The 24218-nt window shown below is 37.8% G+C and overlaps 1 long non-coding RNA gene across 1 annotated transcript in view; it reads right to left on the bottom strand.

Annotated features, from left to right (window-relative positions):
- Nucleotides 1-983: 983 nt before the first annotated feature.
- LOC105370263 (uncharacterized) overlaps nucleotides 984-24218 on the bottom strand; it is a 65817-nt gene continuing 42582 nt past the window's right edge. Inside the window, exon 3 of the long non-coding RNA XR_001749919.1 lies at nucleotides 984-1021. This is a non-coding gene — a long non-coding RNA (uncharacterized LOC105370263). The remainder of the gene's footprint in view (nucleotides 1022-24218) is intronic.

The following is a 24218-nucleotide window of genomic DNA, read 5'->3' as shown; positions in this document are numbered from 1 at the left end:
CCCACCAGCAAGAAAGCCCCCACCAGCAAGAAAGCTCTTGCCAGGTGTGATCCCTTGACCTTGGACTTCTCAGCCTCCACATTGTAAAAAACAAATTCCTTTCTTAATAAATTACCGTGTTTTAGGTGTTCTGCCATAAGCAACAGAAAATAGACTAAGATAATGACCATGTAGGTTATGGCACATTTATCAATAGGCAGCAGCAAGTTGTCCAGTTTAATGAACATGAGGTTCAGTCTTGAACTTTGCTAGTCCTCACAGGAAAGCAAAAGTTGGCTCAAATTATGCTAGTTCTTCAGCAGGCACTATTTCCACCAGGGGTTACTAATTGCTCTGCTTTGGTGCCAGTTTACAACCATTGCTCCCAGAACAGCCCATGATGAGGGCTGTGGCATGCTGGGCATCTTAAGGGGTCATTCCTGGGCATCATTTTATCAATAAAGAACTCTTAGAATTACTATTTTCATCTGGATTCCTGGTGTTAATACGCCTTCTCAAGTTTCTGTGCCATTACACATGGAATTTCCTCAACTGTAAATAATATTCTCCTTCTTCTTTTCTATAAAAATTCCATTAATCATTGAAAACTAAAGACTAAACCTAAGGGACAAGTGAAATAGATACTTTTCTCCTAAATCTGGCAAAGGCTTTTGCTTTCAAGTCACTCCAGGGTGGGAGTCTCTGCTACTGTCATATAAATGGCACAGTTGACTCTTGAACAACACAGTGGCCCAGGGGTGTCATGCAGTCAAAAATTCACAGCTAATTTTTGACTCCCCCAAAACTTAACCACTAATGGTCTACTGTCGATCAGAAGCCTTACTGATAATACAAACAGACAATTAACACATATTTTGTATATGTGCTGTATATGGTATTCTTATAATGTAGAGAAAAGAAAATGTTATTAACAAAAATCATAAGGAAGAGAACATATATTTACTGTTCATCCAGTGGAAGTGGATCATGTGGATCACCATAAAGCTCCTCATCTTCATTATCTGTCTTCAAGTTGAGTAGGCTGTGTACGTGAAGGAAGAGGAGAGGTTGATCTTGCTGTTTGTTTCAGGAATGGTAGAAGCAAAAGACATGGGGGAGGTAGAAGGGAAAGCAGGAGAGGCAGGCAGAGTCCCTGTAATTATTTTTAATTAAAAAAATATTTTTTTAAATTTTTGAGATAGTTTCCCCTTGTTGCCCAGGCTGCAGCGCAATGGCTGGAGCACAATGGCACGATCTCGGCTCACTGCAACCACCCCCTCCCGGGTTCAAGCAATTCTCCTGCCTCAGCCTCCCAAGTAGCTGGGATTACAGGCATATGCCACCACACCCAGCTAATTTTTGTGTTTTTAGTAGAGATGGGGTTTCACCATGTTGCTCAGGCTGTTCTGGAACTCCTGACCTCAGGTGATCCACCCGGCTTGGCCTCCCAAAGTGCCGGGATTACAGGCGTGAGCCACCATGCCCAACATTTTTAAAATTTTCAATAGTTTTGGGGGTACAGGTTTTTGGTTACATGGATAAGTTCTTTAGTGGTGATCTCTGAGATTGTAGCGCACCTGTCACCTGAGCAGTGTACACTGTACCCAATATGTAGACTTTTATCCCATACCCCGACTCCCAACCTTCCCCTACAAGTTCCCAATTTCCATTATATTATTCTTATGCCTTTGCGTCATCATAGCCTAGCTCCCACTTATAAGTGAGGACATAGGATATTTGGTTTTCTGTTCCTAAGTTACTTTGCTTTTATTGAAAAATATGCATATAAATAAATGGACCAGAGCAGTTTAAACCCATGTTGTTCAAGGTCAATTGTATATATGCTAATTGTATTTGCTTAAATGCAAGTCTGGTCTTGGTAATTGATTTGCTCCAAAAGATAAAGGAAAAAAAAAGGAACTAGAATATTTTATAGGTGTAATTTACAAAAAGACTTTATCTTCTGCATACAAATTGTGGTTACTTGTGCATACCACTTTTCATCATTAGATAAACTAAGATGAAAGCTCCAGTTTAAAAAATAGTCTGTTTTCAAATATAATTGTTCGATCAGGCTGGAGCTCTTTTGTTGGCAAAGGGGAGAGAGGGACATTTCAATGTGTTTTTCTGCACTCCATAAGACTATAGCTCTTTATTTTTTTAAATTAAACTATCTTTAAATAGGCCAAAATTTTGGCTTTACATTATAGGGCATGGCACAGTTTTGTTAAGTACACCCTTGCCTTGATGTCCTCAGAGCATTGTTTAGAAAATTACTTTTACTGGCACATTTCCTCTTTCACAGCACCCTTGAGAAAATTGCTACATGGAAATGGGAGGGTAATAACCCAGTCTCTTCCTAGAATTCTTAGGAAACTATTTTCAAAGACAGATTTAATTAACAAAGGATACTAACTCATACACATACAAATATTTTGTTAGTAAGAGTCTAACCATGTGATGTCATTGGTATTACTTTCACACCATTAATAGACTTTGGGGAGGACTGCAAGTAAGACAGTGGTCTGGTCTAGGAGTAGAGTTGCTGCTGAGTAATCACCTGCCTGGTGGGCCGGAGCACATTCCTGGAGGTTCTTGATTTTCAGACTTTTAACAGCTGGTAATTTGCTGTCGAGTCACAAGGGATTGTAGAAAAAGCAGTTTTGTTTCTTCTTGAACAACAACAACAAAAAAACTTCTCTTCTTTGAAATATTTTTCTGAGCTTTTTTTTTTTAAATTCAGGAATAGTAGTCATATTGAAAGAGATAGTGGTTTGCCTTTTGTATTTCATTTTACTATTTACACAGCACATTCCTACATTTAATTCTCATAACTTATGAAATATGTTTCATTATTAGGCACCAATTAAATTGGCTATAGAGCTTACACTGATTTTTCCAATGGCCATGTCTTTGCTAATCCCATCCTTTCTATTGGAGAATTGGTTTCTTTTTCCATCTCTGGTTCACAAGATCCAATATTTTTTGATGACCCATACTCTCTGGCTTAGCAATTGTCAAGGACTGGTCATGGTTTAGCAATTATTAGGGATTGATCGTGTGGCCCAACCCAATCAAAATCCTTCCTTGGAATTTTATTTTGTAATATCAAATGTGAGCATGGTGGGCAGGTCAGTAAGTGGATATGAAGTAATTTTAGAGCTGTTGACAGTCATGTCCCCAACAGGGCGGCATAAGCCTCTTTCAGAGAATAAAATCTACATGCAGAGAGAGACAGATAAACTATGGAGAAAGACCCCACCTGCAGTTTGGTTCCATAAGCCAATTAATTACCCTTTATGTGCTCAAGTCATTACTACCACTGAAGCGAATTGATACAATACTAATTTCCAATTTAAACTTAAGAAACTGAAATCTTGTCAATGTAAATGACCTTTCTGAGATGTTAAAATGTGTTTATTTTTTTCTTCCCTTTTAGACTCGTTTCTATCGAACTGCTCTTTCAGTTGTGCCACTGATGTAAATAGAAGGAAGTTAAAGAATAAAATGCTCGTTATTTTGACTCAAGGCTCTTTCAACCTGCCATTCATTGATACTATACAGTGTTTCTCCTGTAGCTAGGGGAAGGTTACCTGAAAGTGTTTTCTCACATATGAATATTAGGAAATGTGTCGATATAAGGCAAAACATAGATTCTCCCAAATAAAAATTTTATCGCTTGAAAACATTACACATTTTACACTGATTTTATTTCCCTCTTTGTTTGGTCAAACAAACCTTCAGCTTACCTTTAGCAACTGTGCAGAACTGGACAGTATACATTTTCTACTATTCATCTCCCCTTGTTTATGTTTTGTGCATCTATTTTGTCATCAAGTTTTGATTTTATTCCTTTTGTATTATGTGCATTTGTATAAATAAGAAAATAAATGAAATAAAAAGTAATAAGTAAGTAATTTATATTTCAGTGGAGTAGCTTGGTATGCTTTTTTCCAAACTTCCACTAAGTACTGTTGAAAACAGATAAACGCAGAAACTAGCAATGGCACTTCAAGTTAAAGATCGGGGAAGGCCCTCTGTGAAGCCTTTTTCCTTCCATGGGCCAGAACTTGCATTAACAGCATATCTTTGGGAGGCATATATTAAGATTCTTAGATAATATGGCATGTGTTTTACTCTCTGAATAGGAAACATATGAGTGGTCAGTATTGAGATAGGAAAGGACTTTGGCATCTCATAATTTTCTGCTAACTATTAGAAATGGTGACTGATAGAAACACTGAGTTGAAAATAGCTATCATATAACTGCTTAGGATCAATTTTTCTGAGCAAGACAGCAGCAGGAGAACCTGTGTTTCTAATTTCTCTTCACTTATCTCTCAACACATAGTGATAGAGGCAAGAGGCAGACAAATGCCTAGGCAGATAAGGAAGGGTCCCTGGAGAATCTCCAACCTGCTCTATAAGTATTTATGCCAGATGTTTTTGTTCAGAAGAGGGAATCTGCATAGGGTCTTGTCTGGGCATGCCTGCAACTGCCTGGAGGCCCACAGGCACTGGGGGAATGGGGTGGAGCCATCAGGAATTCGTGCCTTATTCAGGGGGAGGAGCCTGGCCTCTTCAGCTCGTGAGCAGTGGCCTGGTATTCAATCTGTGAGGTGGGACCCTGTTAGTAGGACCCCCTCTTTCTTTGCCGAGAGCTTTCTTTTATGCTTAATAAATCCGTTCTCCTCACCCTTCAATGTGTCCCCGTGCCTAATTTTTTCTGGTCGTGAGACTAGAACCCGGTTTTAGCTGAACTAAGGAGTAAAAAATCCTGCATCAATAGGACCAACAGCTTTTCTCTTTCTTTTTTTTTTTTGAGACGGAGTGTCACTCTCGCCCAGGCTGGACTGCAGTGGCGTGATCTCGGCTCACTGCAAGCTCCGCCTCCCGGGTTCACGCCATCCTCCTGCCTCAGCCTCCAGAGTAGCTGGGACTACAGGTGCCCGCCACCACGCCCGGCTAATTTTTTATATTTTTAGTAGAGATGGGGTTTCACCATCTTAGCCAGGATGGTCTCGATCTCCTGACCTCGTGATCCGCCTGTCTCGGCCTCCCAAAGTGCTGGGATTACAGGCGTGAGCCACCGCGCCCGACCCAGCTTTTCTCTTTCTTAATCCATTCAGAGACCACATCAACCAGTGGCCAGAATAGCAGAAGTGTTTTGCATCTTGGGATGCTTAGATACCTAAAGAAGATTTTCACTGGCCCTGTTCATCTTTTCATATTATATTCCTGTTGGTCACTGTCCAGCCTAAGAATGAGTAGGTCTTAGATAACAAGCTGACTCCTGGTCCATTTAATTAGCCATCTCTGGAAGGAGGTTATAGGGTACAGAGCCTCACTGTGGGCAGTAGGGCCTATGAGCAGGTAGTTAACCTCACAAAAGGGTATGAGTATGGCAGACATTTTGAAGATTGCCTAGTTCAGCACAAAGGCATATTTAATTTATTATACCTCTTTCTTCCTTTATGAAATCCTTAAGGGTAAGAATTTACCTCATTATGAGTTTTTCTATATACTTTGTGTTCATATAAACTACAGTATTATTTTCTAAATACTTTGTAATTATTTTAATTTCCTTTTTTACCCACTAGTTTGCAGAAGGGGTTTCTAAATCTTCAGATATGTTTTAAAATTACACATTTAATGTTGATTTCTAGGTATTTTGTACTGTAGTTAGAGTATAGTATGAAAAAAATATACTTGTAGAATTTCTTGAGGTTCTTTTGTGATTTCAAGTAGGGTATTTTTGGATAAATAATACAATTTTTTTTCTCCATAATCTCTTACACACTGAAAGTACTCTATTTAAATAGCTTGCCTATCTTTTGTTTTGTTCATTTCTTTCTTTCTTTCCGTTGTTCCATATATTTTAATGCCATGCTATTTGTTGCACCCAGGTTTACATTTATTTTACTATATATGCTTTTATGAACATATAATTATTCTGTTTGGCCTATTTAGTGCATTTGGCATCAAATTCTGTACTGTTACCTTTTTAAATATACCTTCATTATTCCTTTTATTTTAAACTTCTGAGGCATTTTGTTTTAAGCACTTCTTTAAAACAGCACATGTTTGGAATATCTGGAAACTTAATTCCGATATATTTTCTTCATAATAGACTTTTAAAATTTGTTTTTAACTGAAGAAAATATTAATATATACCCAATCCTTCACTGGTTAAATACTCACTAATGAGCAAAATAATTAGAAAAGGGTAATATGTTAGAATATCTGAACATTAAAAAGCATGTATTGAAAAATAAGCCATGAAAACAGACAAACCACTGGAAAGTGTGACCAAAACACTAACCTAAACTAAACACAATTACAAAATTTTAAGATAAGAAAATGAATATAACTAGAAATGTGGAGAAGACTGAAAAGAGTGAAGTGTATACTTTATTCTTTCTGGATAACTTTATGGCAATGAATTGGAAAGTATATATAGAATGGAGAGATATAGAATGCTTCTGAGCAATAGTGTAAAATGTCAATATTCCTAATAGAAATTCATAATTTTTATGTAATTCCTGTTGTATACAATTGTAAATTGTTTGGAAATTTCCAGTGGAAAAATAAATAGGTAAAACAATCATAAACTTTTTTTCTCCTCTTTGAATACATTTGAAATATTGTTACCAGATGGAAAGTCTCGACTGAGAGTTGTCCAGGTTCTTGGTATGTTGAACAAAGAATTGAACAAAATGCACAAACAAAGCAACAAAAGAACAAAGCAGAACAACGAAAGCACAGATTTATTGAAGTGAAAGTACACTCCACAGAGGGGGAGCAGGCCCGAGCAAGCGGCTCAAGAGCCCTGATTGCAATGTTCTTTAGGGTTTTTGTTGAACTAAAAGAATTTGTTAACACCCTGAGGTACCCTTTAGAGACCTCCTATTGGTTACACACTATGTGAATGAAGGATTGGCCTGCAACCGATCAGAGGCTGAAGGGAAGGCTCGGCTGGCGGATGAATTAGAGGCATTTTCTGTTTCTGACACAGGATAGAAGGAGTTTTGTAGAGGGAGGTGTCTCTGGTCCCTTGTCACTTGGGGATGGAGAGGTGGGGTTTTCCTTTCAGTCCAAATCTAAGAAGTCAGCAGCAGGTTGACCTTAGGCTTTCTGTCTCCAGACCCTATTCTCCTGCCTCAGTATGAAAACCAATTGCAACAAACAGCAAGTGTGCAACAGTTTTTGGCTATGTGAATTCATGAGAGAATAAATATTACTTGCATTATCTGGTATTAAGACAGAGTAAAAAGACAAAGTGGTTACAACAAGATGGTGCTGGTCTCAGTGTCATACCAGCATTCTACGTATGCATGTTTAATAGAATATGAGATAGGTTTATTTAAATAGAAAATAATAGTTATCTTAAAAGCTAGGACAAATCTTGACATGTTATCATGGGAAGAGGGCTGTGAATTACTGATAAGTGACAAAGCTATTAAAAGACATAGTACAAGAGTAACTAATACTCATTGTTTACCATGTATTAAGCACTTTCCTATGTGCTTTTCTAAATTGATAGTGAAAACAATATTATAAAGTAGATATTATTTTCTCAGTTATAGATAGCAAAGAACAAGGTCAAAGAGGTTAAGTTGTGTAGGATGAATAAGTCTAGAGGTTTAAGGTACAGCAGAAGGACTGTAGTTAATATTACATTGTATATTAAAAATTTGCTAAGAGTAGATTTTAGGTGTTCTAATGCAAAAAAAGGTACATATGGAAAGTGATGGACATGTTAATTTGTTTACTTCATTTCACCATGGATATGTATATCAAAATATCATGTTGTATGCCTTAAATTTATACAATAAAAAATAAATGTTGTAGAAAAGAAATCAGCCAAGAGGCCTGGGAAGGAGCAGCCAAGGTTTATGTTAAGTTCTAACCCCAAGAGCCAGGTGATAATATGCCAACCAAGAAGGCAGGAGGCTCAGGAATCATCACAGAGCCTTACCACATCCATGGAGCCTCTTACAACCACGAGTCTCAGTAGATGCACTTCTTAAATGCACCAAACATCGAGTCAGCTTGAAGGGCTTAATTTTACTACTTCTGGTCACTCAGTCTGTGTTCTCCAAATCAATCTTATCAATTCCGTTCCCAGTTAGTTGTAAAAGAAGTAGTTACTACAGTTACTTAAATTATTATTATTATTATTTTTTAAATAACGTTAACAGATCAGAGGACACTTTCTGCAAATCAATTTAAGCTGGGGACTTGCAATTTGAGTACGCTTCAAGATAAACTTTTCCCCCTACTTTCACCTTGTGTGTTTTTTTTCTTCATTTTCTCCACACATTGTCAGTGTGAGATGTCTATTTGTGGATTTGAAAGGAATCTTTACTGGAGCAGAAGAGATGGCTTTCTCCGTAAGAAGAGGAACTCTGCACGGCTGGAAAGTGGGCTGTCTTAACCACTGTCATATAACACTCTGTGACTTGGACATAGTCAGAAAAGCATCTGGAAATCTGTAAATAACCACTGAAATTTTTGATTCAGTTCACACTAGAAACTCTCCCCCTCCCTTATCAATGGATATTTGTTGGCATTTGTTTAAAATTATAAATTGGAGCTAATAGATTCAGCGACTATCTTTTAAACAAAGGGAAGTTACTTCCATTATTTTCCTGTCGGGGTGGGTGGGGAAATAGTCAGAAATAGAATGGTACTTCAAGTACCTTGAGAACTATTATTATTAATATTCTGACTCACAATCAAAGGCCACCAAGAATAACAGCTCCAACTCTGAATAACAGTTAAAATCCTAGAAAAGGGCTAAAGGAAGAAGCCAACGAATGGAATTTTCTAAACAACTCAAAACGGGAAAGAGAGGGGAAAACTTGGAGAATCCTGTCAGTAATAGAAATCAGAAAACAACTGGCATTCGTCAGATTTAATTTCTGCAAACCAACCAGTGTCCTGGAAATCAGACATTTACTCAGCAACTCTGTAGTAAGCACCATGTATGACTTTTGAGGAAATGAGCAAGGACATAAATACATTTAAAACATAATATATGCATATTTATAATAATACCTGAAAACATAAATGTTCTAGAGTTTGCCTTAGGTGAAGACTACATAATGCAGTTTCAAGGGTTAAGAAATCTCCACTAACAATGAAGAACGTTTCCCACTTTCTGTTTACTACATCTGAAATTGATTTATGAGCACATACCCTAAGGCTTAAAATTAAGAACTTCTGGAGAGAGGTAACTCATTAGTGTAAGGAATATATGCATGATACTAATGTTTTCTATTATGGGAGGGTCATAAGGTAGGAGGACAGAAAATAATAAAGAGCCTTTAGCAATAGTAAGTTCACAGAACGAAACTTCAACTCTTTCACAATTTTGTACAAACCTGGATGTGCATATATCTAGTTTATCTCAGCTGTAAGAATGGTTTTAAAAATGAACACGTTTTCTTACTTTTTGTTTTCTTCTGTTCTTTTTTTGAGAATCTAGCAAATCCATAAATGCTGCCACGAGAAAAAAGTGTTCCTATGTGCATTCATCTGTAATTTGGGGGACAATTTCAGGGATTCAAAGACTCTCTGAAATCTATCTAAGATGGCAGGTTAAGGACAAGTAATCAAAGCATTTGTTGGCATCATTAGAATAATGGGGTGTTTGTTAGAAATTCTGAATGTGACAAGCACTTTCATGTCAGTTGGGAAAGGAGGCATGAAAAAAGTCTGGAAATATAATTCCTGTGTGGTGTCCAGAGTGAGTTGATTTGTCTGGTGTGAAATGTGCAAATGAATAAAACAGAAGACAAAAATAAAAAAATCATAACCAGTACCCTGGTCAAGCATAATTTGTAGAATGCAAGTCACAGAAAAAAATGTGTTTCCTTCTCTCACTGGTCTCTTAGGCTGCTCAGTGAGCTAGATATTCCCCTGCCCATGCATGAAAAAGGGAGGTTACAGGACATTGCAGAATGGAAGCCAAAGGCTTAAGATCACTTTCAATCACAAAATAGTCTCATTTGGTACTTAAAAGTACTGAATGTCTCTTATATAGAAGTTAATGCTTCTAATTTCTGCTGGCTGAGGGAAAAGGTGAGGGGGTTGACATGAGCTACAACCTGCTTTGATTCTCTTCCCCACCCAGCTCACTAACCCTGATGTCTGATAGCTCTGAAGTTAGAATATTGAAAGTGAGGGGATATAGGGGTATGAGAAAGTTCTTGCTCTTGTAAACCATCTTCATGCTAGGTCTGTGTCAGGCAGGTTCAAACTCACTTTCTTCTTAGGGGTGGGACCCCTGCTTCTTCATTGCTAGAGATCTTTTATTAGCAGTTCCCTTGATGTGCATAAGGAACATTTATCTGGCTCCTCATTTTCTCTCCTTTCATAGTCCCTAGGAACCCTGAACTTCCCTCTTTACAGGACAGTTCCTCAGCATGCCTCCCCTGTGACCCTTTCTCCCCTGTGGTCTCTATTCTAATCATGGGCAGGAGTCATCATTCCTTTGCCCTGATGCATTTTTTTGGCTCAACACAGCAACCCTATTTCTTACTTCCGCTGCTGGGGTAGCTGGCTGGTCTGCCTTCTGCTTGCTGCAATTCTCAGGCAGGATTCAGACTCAAGATATTAAAATTCCCCAGTTGCAGGAGTCCCATTTGAAGCTGAGTGGTCCTGTGGAAGTTGAGGTGATGAAAGCACTCACTCCATTCCTCCTTCTAGGTAGTGGTGAATGGCTCTTCGTACACTGGCAACTCTGTCTACAAGGTCTTTCTCACAAATTCTCTCTGGACATTTTATATTCTCGGTGAGGAGGAAGTACTGAATATTATCTTGAGCATCTAGAGTTTTGCAAGTTCTATTGATTGATTAGTTCAACTTACAACCCATTTTTGAATCAGACATCCGTCATTGTAGGCTAAAAATGAGACAAACTTTTCACCTGACAGAAAATAAAAACATATATGGTTTTGCAGAAAAGAAAACAAAAAATTAAAGCATAATTTTAGGCAAAAATTTATGAATCATTACATATGGCTTTTATTTAACAAATTTAACAAACACTGTTGCTGCTTTTCCAAGAACTTTATAGACTAACACAGTCTTAAAAATGATCAACTTCATGATGCAAGCACTATCATTTTAATCTCCATTTTCAAGTGAGTAAACTGAGGTATAGAGAAGCTAAGTAACTTGTCCAAGGTCACATGACTGGTAAATGATAAATCCCAGATTCAAACACAGGAAGTCTGGCTCCAGTATGATTGGTCCTAGCAATTATGCTATACTTCTTCTCAAGGTTACTGGAGGCCCTACAGAATTCTTTAATTAATTAATTTATTTATTTTTTTGAGACAGAGTTTCACTCTTGTTGCCCAAGCTGGAGTGCAATGGCGCAATCTCGGCTTACCACCACCTCCACCTCCTGGGTTCAAGTGATTCTCCTGCCTCAGCCTCCCGAGTAGCTGGGATTACAGGCATGCACCACCATGCCCAGCTAGTTTTGTATTTTTATTAGAGACAGGGTTTCTCTATGTTGGTCAGGCTGGTCTTGAACTCCCGACCTCAGGTGATTCACCCGCCTTGGCCTCCCAAAGTGCTGAGATTACAGGCATGAGCCACTGGCCCGGCCAGCCCTGCAGAATTCTTATAGGAGAAAGTATATTTCTTCTCAATCTTTATTCCAGAGCCTCTAGTTTCAACCATTCTCTTGCCACCACTCTCAAATGCTTTGTTTCCCTGTAGCTCTGTCCTTCTCTCACCTGACAAATCAGATCACATCAGTTTTCTACCTAAAATCTTTTAGTATGTTTAAATTACCAAGACCAGATTTCTTAGTGATGCATAAAAAGCCTTTCATATTGCAGTTTCTTTTAAACTGCCCAAATTTATTCTCTGTCGTTTTACCACAAACACCGTGCTCTGTCATGCAAACCTACTTGCCCTGTGTCCTCAACATGCTAATGCCATTTACTTTCTCTATATCATGTTATCCACATGGAAATATATCTCTCATGTATACCTCTATAGTCCTCAACCTACAAATGGGTTGATTTTTCTACAAAGCTACCTTTGACCCTCTTGTTCATCCATCCATCCATCCATCCATCCTTTCATGTATTCATCACATATTTACCAAGTGCCACAGGTTTCAGTGTTTCAGGTGCTGAAATACAATGGTGACCAAAGCAGATACAAATCTGCATTCATTCTATGCTATTCTCTTTATCCCCAGAAATACATACATTTAATTTCTTAATGCAGCATTGTGTAATAGTTTGTGGACATCTCTGTCCTCCACTATGATCTGAGATCCTCCAGGACCTCCAAAAAGGTCTTTCAAGCAACATTACCTGCATATCCTCAGGTGCCTAGTAGATCTCTTATCACATATTTGATGGTTAAGTGATGGATTATTAAGTAATACATGCATATATTAATGAGAGGTAAATGAATGGATGAATCTAAGAAAACTGTTCTTGCTACTTTTGTATTATTGTTTGATGGAGTTAGGAGTTGCTACTAGGCTCGGCACTTTGGGAGGCCAAGGTGGGCGGATCACTTGGGCCAGACCTGATTGGGCAACATGATGAAACCCCTTCTCTACAAAAAACACACAAAAAATTAGCCAGGCATTGTGGCACGTGCCTGTAGTCCCAGCTACTAGGGAGGCTGAGGTGAGAGGGTCACTTGAGCCTGGGAAGTTGAGGCTGCAATGAGCTATGATCATGCCACTGCACTCCAGCCTGGGCAACAGACTGAGACCCTGTCTTAAAAAAAAAAAAAAAAAATAGGAAAAAGAAGTTAGTACTAGGGGAATTGATGAGGAAGTTGTTTTTGGAGTCTAGGTTCAAGGGTTTACAGTCTGGACTGATTTTCTCACAGCTGTGGGAATAAAAGTGGTGGAACCAGAAAAGAGTTTGCCTTGATGGGAAAAGTGTAAATGTGATTCTCTCTGAAGGCTAGCAGAGTGCTGCCTGTCAGTTTTAAGACTTGCTTTGCCATCCAGAAAACTATTTTTTTTTTTTTTTGAGATGGAGTCTTGCTCTTGTCGCCTAGGCTGGAGTGCAGTGGTGCGATCTTGGCTCACTGCAACCTCCGCCTCCCTGGTTCAAGCGATTTTCCTGCCTCAGCCTCCCCAGTAGCTGGGACTATAGTTGTGTGCCACCACCACTCCCAGCTAGTTTTTTGTATTTTTAGTAGAGGCAGGGTTTCACCATGTTGGCCAGGCTGGTCTTGAACTCCTGACCTCAAGTGATCCGCCCACCTTAGCCTTCCAAAGTGTTGGAATTACAGGCATGAGCCGCTGTGCCTGGCCCAGAAAACTCTTGAATTGATCAACATGGAAAATCCTAGCAAAGACAGGCAAAAAGTAAAAATAGATTTTTAAAGTTTTTCCGGAACTTATGATTTCATTTTTTTCTATTAAAGGTTACATGCTCAGTTTCTATTTCAAGGGACTCCAATAAAATATTTTGATATCTGAAGACAAAATCAATAAAACACTCTACTATGCCAAGTTACCCATAGTCTTTTCAGGAAAAATGAATTGCATACTCAAATAAATTAAAGGGAAGTATATTTAAGATGTTCCTGTTCTTAGTTAATGTGAGTCTATGTTGACATGTGAGTTAAGCACTTAGATTGACTTTCAGCACATTTTCTTAAATCCGTCATCTGGATTCCCAGAGAAACCTGTATTCTTTGTTAGATTCTTTTATGCTTATCTAGTAAAATAAATAAAATAATGCTTTCTTTGATGTCACTGTATCAAGGATTAAATTTCCTCTAAGGAAATTATTCATATCCCTTCCACAATATGGTGAAAGCAATGAGTCACCTGCCATTGACCTTCACATGTTTATGTGTACTTATCTAAACCACACATCTGTTCTTTATTTTCCAATGAAGGGACCATATGCCCCTTGAATCACATATAAGAGCATAGTGTTCTAAAACAAACACACTGAAGTTAATTTAGGGGATAAAATGAACTTTGAAGAGGATTCACATTCAATGCTCTAGCTGTTAAAAAAAAAAAAAAAAAAAAAAAGCAGAATTTATTCCTAACCTCAAGAGTGAGATTTCGTCTCTTCTCCCTAGTACTCCAGTGAAAAAAACAGTTTAATAAACTATTTAAGAAAGCTAAAGAGTTAGTATTCAATACTAACTCTTGAATAACTCTTCAGATAACTCTTGAAATATTTTCTCAAACTTAGGATTTTAACTTTAGAAGCTAGCCAATTACAGCCTTAGAAAAATATCAGCTATAGGTTTGAAACTTACAAGTAAATAAATATTAAAAAATAGTATTTTATGTTGGAAAAACTCTACTTTTAAAAAACTACATTATTTACTTTCCTATGCTCCTTATAACAATTTATTAAGGTAGAATGGACTATTATTATCTTGCTTCTGCAAATGAGAAAACTAAGGCTCAAAGAGTTTAAACAAATAGCCTGATTTGATAATGACAACACATAAGACAGAACTTAAACCCAGGTCCTCTTCCAAATATGATGTTGAAAAACACAGTGATGGTTCAGAAAACCGAAGTGTAATCTTTTAGGTCACATGAAGATGTTTGTTCTCAACAAATACAAGGCATAATCATTGAGGCATATATCCATGATCTATCTATCTATCTATCTATCTATCTATCTATCTATCTATCTATCTATCTATCTACCTACCTACCTATCAACCATTTTCTTAGAAATTCAGGCAGAATTCAACCAAACCACAGCCAGAGTAGAAGATTTAACAAAATTTTTTAGAATTTAATGGCTGGTGTTGACAAAGAGAAAAGGTGCAGAAGAGACTTAATATAGACATATTGTACTCCAAATCCAAGTCAAATGTATCATTTTCAACTGTTCATAGAAAACATACCAAAAATCAACCATATACTAGTCAACCAGATATGACAATCAGACTAGTCAACTAGATAAATTCTATAGTAAAAAAATCTTATATGTTATATTGAAAAGTATCCTGCAAATATAATCACTTGAAAATATAATAGCTGCTCTCTAAAATAGCCCAAATTGGAAATCAAGATAAAATGAAAGATATTTTGAAATTAATGTCAATGAAATGCTATTATATATGTCAAAACATAAAATGCATGGTCAAATTTATAATCTAGAGGAAACTTTATAGTTAAATGTTGCATCAATGAGTAGAAAATATATAATACAACTGAACTAAAAAATGTCTAAATTAGAAAAAAAGTACTAAAAATGTTGAAGGAAGGAATTAATGAAGACAAAATGTTAAAAAAAAAAGCTAATAAATTAGGTAAGAAGAACTACAATCACCATCACAACAAAAAGTTCCATTCAGAAGGAATTAATAAAGGCCAAATGTTTAAAAAAACTGATGAATTAGGTAAGAAGAACTAAAATCACTGCCACAACAGAAAGTTCCATACAGGCCAGGCGTGGTGGATCACACCTATAATCTCAGCACTTTGGGAGGCCAAGGCAGGTTGATCAGTTGAGGTCAGGAGTTTGAGACCAGCCTGGCTTACATGGCAAAACCCCATCTCTACTAAAAATAGAAAAATTAGCTGAGTGTGGTGGCATGCGCATGTAGTCCCAGATACTCAGGAGGCTGAGATGGGAGGATCGCTTGAACCCGGGAGGCACCACTGCACTCCAGCTTGGGCTACAGAGTGAGACCCTGTATCGAAAAATAAATTAAATCAATAAATAAATAAATAAATAATTTTTAAAAAGTTCCATACAGTGCTGGTTCTTTATTTTTATTTTATTATTATTCTTTGAATTTTAATTTAGGTTCAGTGAGTACATATGCAGGTTTATTACATGTGTAAATGGTATGTTCCTGAAGCTTGGTGTACAAATGATCCCATCACTCAGGTAGTGAGCATACTACTGGATAGGCAGTCTTTAACTCACCTTCCCTCCCACTTACCCCCTCAAGCAGTCCAGTGTCTAATGTTCCTATCTTTGTGTGCATGTGTATTCAGTTTTTAGCTCCCACTTATAAGTGAGGTCATTCAGTATTTGTTTTTCTGTACCTTTGTTAATTCACTTACAATAATGACCTCAAGCTGCATCCATATTGCTGTAAAGGACATGATTTCATTCTTTTTTATGGCTGTGTGGTATTCCATGGTGTATACGTACCATATTTCTTTATCTAGTCCACTGTTGATGGCATCTTAGTTGATTCCATTTCTTTTGCTATTCACAGCAAAAAGTTCCATTCAGAAGGAATTAATAAAGTGAATAGTGCTGCAATGACCACATAAGTGCATGTGCCTTTTTGGTAGAATGATTTGTTTTCCTTGGGTAAATTTGAGAAATGTGGGGTGAAATTACAGGAGGACCTTCTACTTTATACATGTCTATAATATTTAAACTTATAAATTGTATTACTGTTATTAATGTAATACAAATATATATATAAAGCAATAAAGAAAAGTAAAATCATTAATTGGTAAAAAAAAAAAGCAACAAACACAAGACACAGTGGGATATCTTAATAAATAAAAGGAACTTTTGAACAAATAAGATGAATACTCATAAAGATTATAAAAACATTAGTCCCCCCAAATTACAATCAACCAAAAAATCCAACAATTATTCAACATCATTATTAATAAAAGAAAGGCCAATTAAAGTATTAGCATGCCATTTGGCCTTTAACAATTTGGCAGTTTTTAAAAATATGCATTCTATTTTAGAGGATACTTTTTATGTACTATTTATATACAATAACTTAAAATCAAGAACCTTAAAATGATGCATACTCTTTAATCCATAATTCAAGTTCTAAGAGTCTCTGCTAAGAAAAATATCAGAGATATAGAAAAGAAACCCATATCACAGGTGATCCTTATAACTTCATAACAGTAAAAATTGTATGTAACCTAAATATTCAACAATATGGAGTAGTTGTCTTAATTCTGGCATAATGCAACAATGGGAACGTGTGACTGTGTTATTCCTTGGGCTCTGAGGTTTCTTTTCTCCGACTTTCATTGTCTCCTTATGTTTATTTTGTGCATATTGTCCAGGGTTTTTAGTAGTACTTAGCAGGAGGAATAGGGAAAAGTACACCTACTCCATCTTTTGAAGCCAAAATGGAATACATTTAAAAAATGTAAAGAGGACCCTGGCTTACAGGATGATAGTGATGATGGATATGGAATGCTGCAAATCCTAAGGGAACCCCACTTATTCTTCCTCCAGGTGACTGCAGGGACCGTTTCTAGAGCTAACGATTCCTGAAGAAAGAGGCTACCTGTTTTCCTTAGAGTATATTTGAATATGTTGAAGAAATGTGATCAATGGGAAAGTATCTTTTATTCTTCTTTCAAAGAAGCAAATTAATGAAATGTGAGAGAACAGACAGAAGGACAGCCAGATTTATGAGGAAGAGGTGATTATATTAGTGAAGTAATAGGAAAAATATGCATTAATTATTAAAAATTAAGACTTGGGATATTTATATAAATGGATATAGTGGCCACTCTTCCCAGAATGCTGAGATGAAGGGAATTTCATCTTTGTGAGGATACTGTAAGCTTCATAGAGGAGCTGTAGAAAATAACAGTGAAATAACATGAAATAAATAATAATAAAGTATGCCACACATGTGAAAACTCATATTCTCTAAAACAGCATTTTCCCCCTTATTTCCAGCTTTATTCTGTCTGGAAATTCCATCACACCAATTCCCTCAAACAATTGAAAGAAGATTTATAAAACTGATTCATGCAGAATTTCATGTTCTAGTTTGCACATTAATTTAATAAAGCAGTACATGCACTCTGAAGGACAGAACTCCGAAAAAAGCATCATAACTGAAAGATCCTCTGCAAATCTCAGATGATGGTAAAATCATTCAAAAATAATAAGGATGTGACTCGCAGTAGAAGAAAAACAATGAACCTTGCAAATACAAGTTGGAACAACCCTGGTAAATATGATAGCAAATTATTTCTGAGTGCTAGGTCACCCATGTATCTATTAAGAGTAAGTTATACGAAGCAGAAAATTGCAGTGGAGATTTATAAATGTGCAATAGTTATGACTGATGTTATGATTAAGTGTCTTTGATTTTGCACCATTCAGAACAGTCTTACGAATAATCATTTATTAAGCAAGTAAATTATTGAAATTATCTTCAAAGTACTTTTAGTGTTAAAAGTATTTTACCATATCTTTATTCATCCATGCTAGTGTGTACAAGAAGCTGTCCTAGAATCTGTGGTCCACATAAATTAAACATAAACTTTGCCCACAAGGTGTTGGGGAGTAACTTAGGTACCTTGAATTACTTTCTGGAGTGGGTGAGATATTTGTTAAAAATAAGTAGACAGTAATTAACCAGCGTACTCCATTTGCAAGCATGATATTTTACAAAGTTAGCTGTTCTAGAATACATAAAAATGTCATGATTAATTCATGTGTGATCTGCTCATTTCACTAGCAAGCAGTGACACAGATACAACAAGGATATCTGGAAATGGGGCCACATATATTGTAAGAATGTGAGGCCGGGTGCAGTGGCTCTCACCTGTAATCCCAGCACTTTGGGAGGCCGAGGCAGGTGGATCACGAAGTCAGGGGTTCGAGACAAGACTGACCAACATGGTGAAACCCTGTCTCTCCTAAAAATACAAAAATTAGCTGGGCATAGTGATGGGCACCTGTAATCCCAGCTACTCAGGAGGCTGAGGCAGGAGAATTGCTTGAACCTGGGAGGCGGAGGTTGCAGTGAGCCGAGATCGCGCCACTGCACTCCAGCCTGGGCGACAGAGGGAGACTCCATCTCAAAAACAAAAAAAACCCCAAAAAACAAAAAAAAAGAACAGCTTTATGATTCTGTCACTGGAAATTCTCCCCCAGGTCATGAGTACCCATTCCTATACTATTAGTGCAACTAATGTTTCACTCACCCTATAGGTGGAAAAAAAAAAAAAAGACATGATAGATCAGGTGAAAATTCTAGCTGTGAAAGTAACTGACCTTACACACATTTAGTTTCTTTAAGCCTGAGTCATTAGCCAAATTTTGACTCCTTAATCCTAATTGAATCAGGAATCCTAACATTAATGTTCATTTGATGATCAGAACTGTCCACACCCACACAGCTTGCTATCCTCATTAGGAAAATTGTATTGTTCAACTGTCTTCACTAATGTGACTTTACAATGCCAGGAAACTTCTCAGGAAGATAAAAGTTGTAAATAATGGTATTGTTTGTTTCAGAAAAACTTCCCACCTCCCCAAATAAAACATTCAAATGAACATCAGACATTCAACTTTTCAATAACTAGCATCAAACTACCCTTCTCCTTGTTACTCTGAAACCTTACCTCAAAATCTCCACCTTGCTATGCTCACTAAACCTCAACTGTTATAGCATGATCCTAATCCACTACCAACCAAGCCCCCATGATGAAAGGTGAACCTTAAACCAAACTTCCAGACCTCATAAATATTCCAACTTTACCTGCTAAGAAGCTACTAAGATTCTATCAAGATAATGCATTTTCTTTCCTTCGAAAGCAATAAAATCACTTTGTCCTGTGGACCCTTCATTTCAGTGGGACTTTCAGGGAGCAAGCATTTTGTAAGTTCTTAAGAACTAATAGGAAAATTACAAACTTTCAAATTAGAAGATATGAAGACAATATAAAGAAAGGGGCCTATCATAATTGTAGCAGATGAAAGTAAAGGACCAATTTTATAATAATTTTCACATAAAAAATAACTGCATGTGCTGACTATTCTAGGACTGAAGAAAATTGAATTAAGTGAAACAGTGAAGACTGTAGATTATGTCGTAAAATAAAGTGACACCAACCTATAGCCTTCCTCTTTTAACCTTGGTGGCAATTTGAAATGGGAAAGCATTTAACTGAAACTGACTCTAGCCTTCCTGAATAGCTGAGAGAGAGCCTTTTATACTCTTCTAACCATAAGAGCCAGGATTATGAAAGATCCTCACCCATGAGGATGCCTGAGTTACTGTCCTACAAAGGGCAGGATGAAAGACATACTAGGAAGTAAGTTCTGTTCCCAAATGGGACTGGAGCGCCTCTAGAAAAACACGAGTTATCCCCTATCAATGCGAGCTCATCTAAAAGTCCAAGATAGCGATCAGCCATAGCTTTCCCTGATCAAGAGATTGAATTGCAACTGGAGCCCCCATCAGTGCCCCTCATAAGCTTAGAGCTATTTCCCACCGTCCCTTGGAAGCAATGGTGGTACATGAACCATGCTCTCATGGGACAATGCCTTCTTCATTTATTTTTATTTTTATTTAACTTTTATTTCAGGTTTAAGGATACATGTGCAGGTTTGTTATACAGGTAAACTCGTGTCACAGGGACTTGTTGTGCAGATTATTTCATCACTGAGCTACTAAGCTTAGTACCCAATAGTTATTTTTTCTGCTCCTCGCCCTCCTCCCTCCCTCCTCCCTCCCTCCACCCTCAAGTAGGCTCCAGTGTCTGTTGTTCCTTTCTTTGTGTTCTTGAGTTCTAATCATTTAGTTTCCATTATAAGTAAGAACATGTGGTATTTGATTATCTGTTCTTGCATTAATTTGCTAAGGATAATAGCCTCCAGCTCCATCTATGTTCCCACAAAAGACATGATCTTGTTCTTTCTTATGGTTACATAGTATTCCACGATGTATACGTACCATGGAACAATGCTTTCTTCAAATGTTTCTCTTTGTGAGGTAGAGCAAATCCTCATCTTCTGTTTCTCCCGCATTGTGCCCTTCCATAAAAGAACTTCATTTCCCATCATCGTCTGATACTCGTTTGGTTTGAGGCTAAAGGATGAGGACGGCAAGAAGTATGCTGGGAAAGGGCTATTGGCTTTGTTCAGTCATTGTATGGGGACTGGGGCTGTTAGCCATGAAAGCCACACCTTTGTCCATGTCGAGTTTTGGAAGGTCTGGACCCATGAAGAGATTAGGCAAGATTACTGGGGAGGGCAGGTTTGGAGGCCGTTCATCATTTAGCTGATATTGAGGGATTATTATTTGCTAGGTACTGTGTTTGTGGTGATGAACAAATTGATGAGCAGGCAGATTTTCTTCCTTCCCTCACTGAGCAGAATTTAACACTGAAGATGAACCTCAATAAAGGAATTGGACACGTAAGAGTAAATGTACATAACAGATATGAGCAGCCATGATGCTGTCTAGGTTGGAAAAGTCTCCCTAGGAAGTATGATTGGAGTGGTACCTAAAGGAAGAGGAAAAGTTACCTTGGCAAAGTGGTGAGGGAGGAGTGTTCCAGGCAGAGGGAATAGCATGGATGAAGGTGAAGTGATAAGGACCACATTCAAGGGACTTCAGTAAGGTCATTGTAGAGCAAGGTCTTGGATTAGGCTGAGGGATAGGAGGAGCAGATCCTGCAGGTGTTGGAGGCTGCATTCAGTTTCAGCCGTTATCCTGAGAGCAGAGGGAGAAGAGTAGGTCTGCGGCATGAGCAGTGGCCTCTAAGAGATAGGAAAGAGTCAGGAATCCTGAATTTCAAGGGTGGCAGAGCCCTATGCCCACTCATGCGTGGCACCCACAGCCAATACACAGACAAGTACTATTGGCTTTATTTTCAAATATATTCCAAATCACATCTTCTCTCACCCTCTTCTGCATATGTCGTGGCAGTGAATTCCTGATTTGTCCTCCTGCTAACTTTTGTCCATCTGCAGCCTATTATAGACACAGAAATCCAAGTGACTTTGTAAGATGAAAATCACTTGGTGTTTTTTTTTTGTCATACTCTTCCCATCTACGGTAAGCAGAAATCTAAGATTATTTTCAATATGACCACCCCTTGGTGTATATGCCTTGCATAACCCCTTCCTTTGAGTCTGAGAAGACCTGTGATTACGAGGGACTTGTGCAGATGTAATTAAGGTCCCTAATCAATTGACTTTAATCAAAAGGCACATTGTCTTAGGTGGGCCTGACCCAATCAGGTGATCCCTTTAAACAAATCAGAGACATCTGAGGCCATACAGATTCTCTGCTGGCCTGGGAGAAGCAAACTCCCATGTTGTTGAGATGACAATGTAGCAAAGACCTGAGTGTGGCCTCTAGGAGCTAAGAGTAGTCTTCTAAGCTAGCAAGAAAAGGGGGAGCTCAGTCATGCCTCTGCAAAAAAAAAAAAAAAAAAAAAAAAAAAAAAAAATGTATTCTGCAAACATCTTGAAGGAGCTTAAGATGTATTTTTTTTCTCATAAATGTCTCCAGATGAGGATGCAGCCAGATAACACCTGATTTTAGCCTTGTGAGACCCTGAGCAGAGGATCTAGCTAAAATAAGTTGGACTCCTGAGGCATGGAAATTGTGGGATAAAAGATTTGTTTTTTCAAGCCACTAAATTTGTGATAATTTGTTACAAAGAAACAGAAAATGGTGCTTAATTTAGCAGCATTTATATTGAGGAGTAGGTCTTTTTTTTTTTCCTAAATGATATTTTTATCTCTAACACTTCACACAGTACGTGGGACATATTGAGTGTTCAACAAATATTTGTTGAGAGAAGTTGCAGATTGAAGATGACAGGATTCAGTGAGTGGATGACAACGTGGGCATGTGTGGAGGCTGATCACTCAGCCTGCTTGTCTAGGGGAAAGTAAAGAGAGTTTTTATGATCAGTGAGAGGCACCTTAGAAGGGTATGCTTGAGGCTTGCCTGCATAAGCGGTGTGACAGGTGGCAGGAAACCAGCACTCAACATTGATAGTGTGAACCAGGTGCAAGGCAGTGATGACAACTTCCCCAGGGGCAGAAGATGGAAGACTTCCCTGGGCCACATCGTTATGGGAGTCCTGGTATTACCCAAACAAGGCAAGACACCACGACCAATGAATGATGTTGGTCTTGACACTCACTGACCACGGCAAGTGGGTACTCAGAGCTGGATTTGATGTAGAGAAATATATAAATTGGCAAACATTGCACCTTAGTGTCATGGGGAATTTCAGACCCTGTCTAAGGCCTGAGAGCCTTTGAACTTCGTGCTTGATTTTCACTCAAAAGAGAATCCTTGCTGATGAAAATCATTTTCAATCAAGAAAATGATGATAAGACAATAATAAAGTGGAGAATTAATGACTTGAATTTCTATTTTTTAAGCTCAGGGTAATGCTATTTGGATTTGACACAGAAATGTCAAACAGCAAAGAACGGTAGGGGTAAAAAGCTTGAGCTCTGTGATCAGATGGCTTGTGTTTGCATTGCAGTGCTACTGCTACCTACAGGATGTGGTAGCTGCATCCTCAGAAGACTCACCAGTGCTCTCAAGGCCATAGCACTTCATGTTCACCTCCACATGACACATAACCATCTCCCTTCTTTGTGCCTTAGTTTACCTTTCTATAAAATGGGCATAGTAATAGCATCTACTTCAAAATGTTGCCAAGTGGATTAAATTTGGTATTATGTAAAGTCCTTGGTGGAATGGCTAATAAAAATTCATGGTTATTAATAGCATCGGGTAGTTAATTCTCACTCAAGCAAGTCTCCGGCTACATAGATCTCTGAGATGTTTAAGGAATAGAATCAGCTATGTCACATAGCTGGATTCAGAAATTGTGAAATGCCTCTTCTTAGCTTTAATCTTGCTCCCTTCTTAACTGTATTTCAAGGCCACCAAGGTGACACATGCAAGCTGTTGATAGTTAGGTTTTGATGTACACATATACACACGCTGAACATTAAATAGATATTCCCTGCAAAACACTAGGTCCCAGAAAACAGTCTCCTCTGTATTTGATGAAATAATTTCCTTTCTAGGATGATACTTTAAAAGACCTGACCTTCACTGACATCACCCACATGCCAGATGAGATTAGTGAGCCACATAGCAAAGTTTCTGATATGAAATAGTAATAGAAAACCTTTTTATTTGTCTTATATTTTGAGGGCTGAATATAAAATACAATTTCCAGACTTGACTACTCCAGGAACCAGTTGAAAATTTTGTGCATGATTTTGTTTTTATAAGCTAAATGTATCTCTGTCACCCCTGTATCAAAGACTCAAGCCAATAGAAGTAATACTACAGGTTCAGAATCCAAGGACTATTTGCCATATACTCTGAGTATTACAGAATAATTTTAACAATTGTAAATCCCACACATTCTGAAAGGAATGCATTCTCTGCACTCAGAGATCGGGTTGGTTTCAGCCCAGCCCTAAACATTGTGGGTCAGGTGTCCTAAAAGAGCTGCCCCAAATTGC

This window comes from Homo sapiens, chromosome 13, assembly GCF_000001405.40.
Source record: "Homo sapiens chromosome 13, GRCh38.p14 Primary Assembly".
NCBI lineage: Eukaryota > Metazoa > Chordata > Mammalia > Primates > Hominidae > Homo > Homo sapiens.
The sequence above is the reverse complement of the archived record's forward strand: the minus strand, read 5'-3'. Positions and strand labels throughout refer to the sequence as shown.